The following is a 1,532-nucleotide window of genomic DNA, read 5'->3' on the forward strand; positions in this document are numbered from 1 at the left end:
GTATCAAAATCACACCCAAGACAGAGTTGATTTGTTTCTTTGATGTCCCTGACGTTGTTCATGCAGAATTCACTCCTTGAGGTCAAAAAGTACATCAAACTTCTGTAGAAATTCTAAATTATTTGATACATTCTCAGCATTGCAAAAAGAGAAAATTCTAGTTTAAGGCTCCAACTCAAAGTGTGCCTCTGTGAAGTACTCTTGAAAAAGAAAAAAAACAGCAACAACTGGTGCTTCTGACAAGACACTCTCCTTGACCAAACTTTGGTGAGACCCCTCTGAGCCTTTGAATTTCTGTGTCTATCTTTGCATTATCTAATTTTAGCAAAAATTCTGCTGTGTCAGTTAAGCGAGAATCTTTCCATATCTGATCAAATTTCTCATCCCCACCTCCATCACCAGGTGGTGTCTGATTACCTTAGCCTGTCTTGAAGGAAGGATTCTGTCGAATTGGTTTAGCCAGAATCCCCTGACCCCTGATGCTCCTTCCTGGGAATTTTTCATCCCCTAATCTCCACCCTACTTCCTGGCTATGAATCCCCCATGCTGTGTTCAGAATGGAAGCCCATTCTGTACTCAAGTCTTTTCCCCTATTGCAATAGTTCCTAATTAAAATCTGTTTCAGCCAGGCATAGTGGCTCACGACTGTTATCCTAGCACTTTGGGAGGCCTAGGTGGGCAGATCTTCTGAGGCCAGGAGTTCGAGACCAGCCTGGCCAACATGGTGAAACCCCATCTCTATTAAAAATACAAAAATTAGCTGGGCATGGTGGCAGATGCCTGCAATCCCAGCTACTCAGGAGGCTGAGGCAGGAGAATGACTGGAACCCAGGAGGCGGAGGTTGCAGTGAGCTGAGATTGTGCCACTGCACTCCAGCCTGGGTGACGGAGCAAGACTCTCTCAAAAATTAAAATAAATAAAATCTGTTGGCCAGGCGCAGCGGCTCACGCCTGTAATCCCAGCACTTTGGGAGGCCAAGGCGGGCAGATCACCTGAGGTTGGGAGTTCGAGACCAGCCTGGCCAGCATGGTGAAACCCAGTCTCTACTAAAGATACAAAAATTAGCCGGGCGTGGTGGCAGGTGCCTATAATCCCAGCTACTCGGGAAGCTGAGGCAGGAGAATCGCTTGAACCTGGAAGGCGGAGGTTGCAGCAAACCGAGATCGCGCCATTGCACTCCAGCCTGTGCAACAGAGCGAGACTCCGTCTCAAAATTAAGTAAATGAATAAAATAAAACAAAATCTGTTTCATCCCTTTACTGTCTGGCTCTGGTTTTTCCTTAACCCTTCCCAGCCTGATCACTCGCCTCTTCCTCAGTCTTGGCTCCCAACTACTAAGTGTTCCTCAAAATCAAATACACCCTTGGAAGGTGAAGATTCTCCACCATTAAAGATGGATGAGGCTGGGAGCAGTGGCCACTAAAAAATAAATAAATAAATACAAAAATTACCCAGGCGTGGTGGCAGGCACCTGTAATCCCAGCTACTTGGGAGGCTGAGGCAGGAAAATGGCTTGAACCCGGGAGGCAGA

The 1,532-nt window shown here is 46.6% G+C and overlaps 1 annotated feature.

Annotated features, from left to right (window-relative positions):
- Window positions 247-865: an enhancer, noted in NCBI's record as "NANOG-H3K4me1 hESC enhancer chr10:21598312-21598930 (GRCh37/hg19 assembly coordinates)". NCBI's record gives its function as "activates a minimal SCP1, AML or CMV promoter by ChIP-STARR-seq in primed H9 embryonic stem cells {active_cell/tissue: H9 hESC(primed)}" and the evidence as "EXISTENCE:reporter gene assay evidence [ECO:0000049][PMID:30033119]".

The sequence above is a fragment of the Homo sapiens genome, chromosome 10, assembly GCF_000001405.40.
Source record: "Homo sapiens chromosome 10, GRCh38.p14 Primary Assembly".
Lineage (NCBI taxonomy): Eukaryota > Metazoa > Chordata > Mammalia > Primates > Hominidae > Homo > Homo sapiens.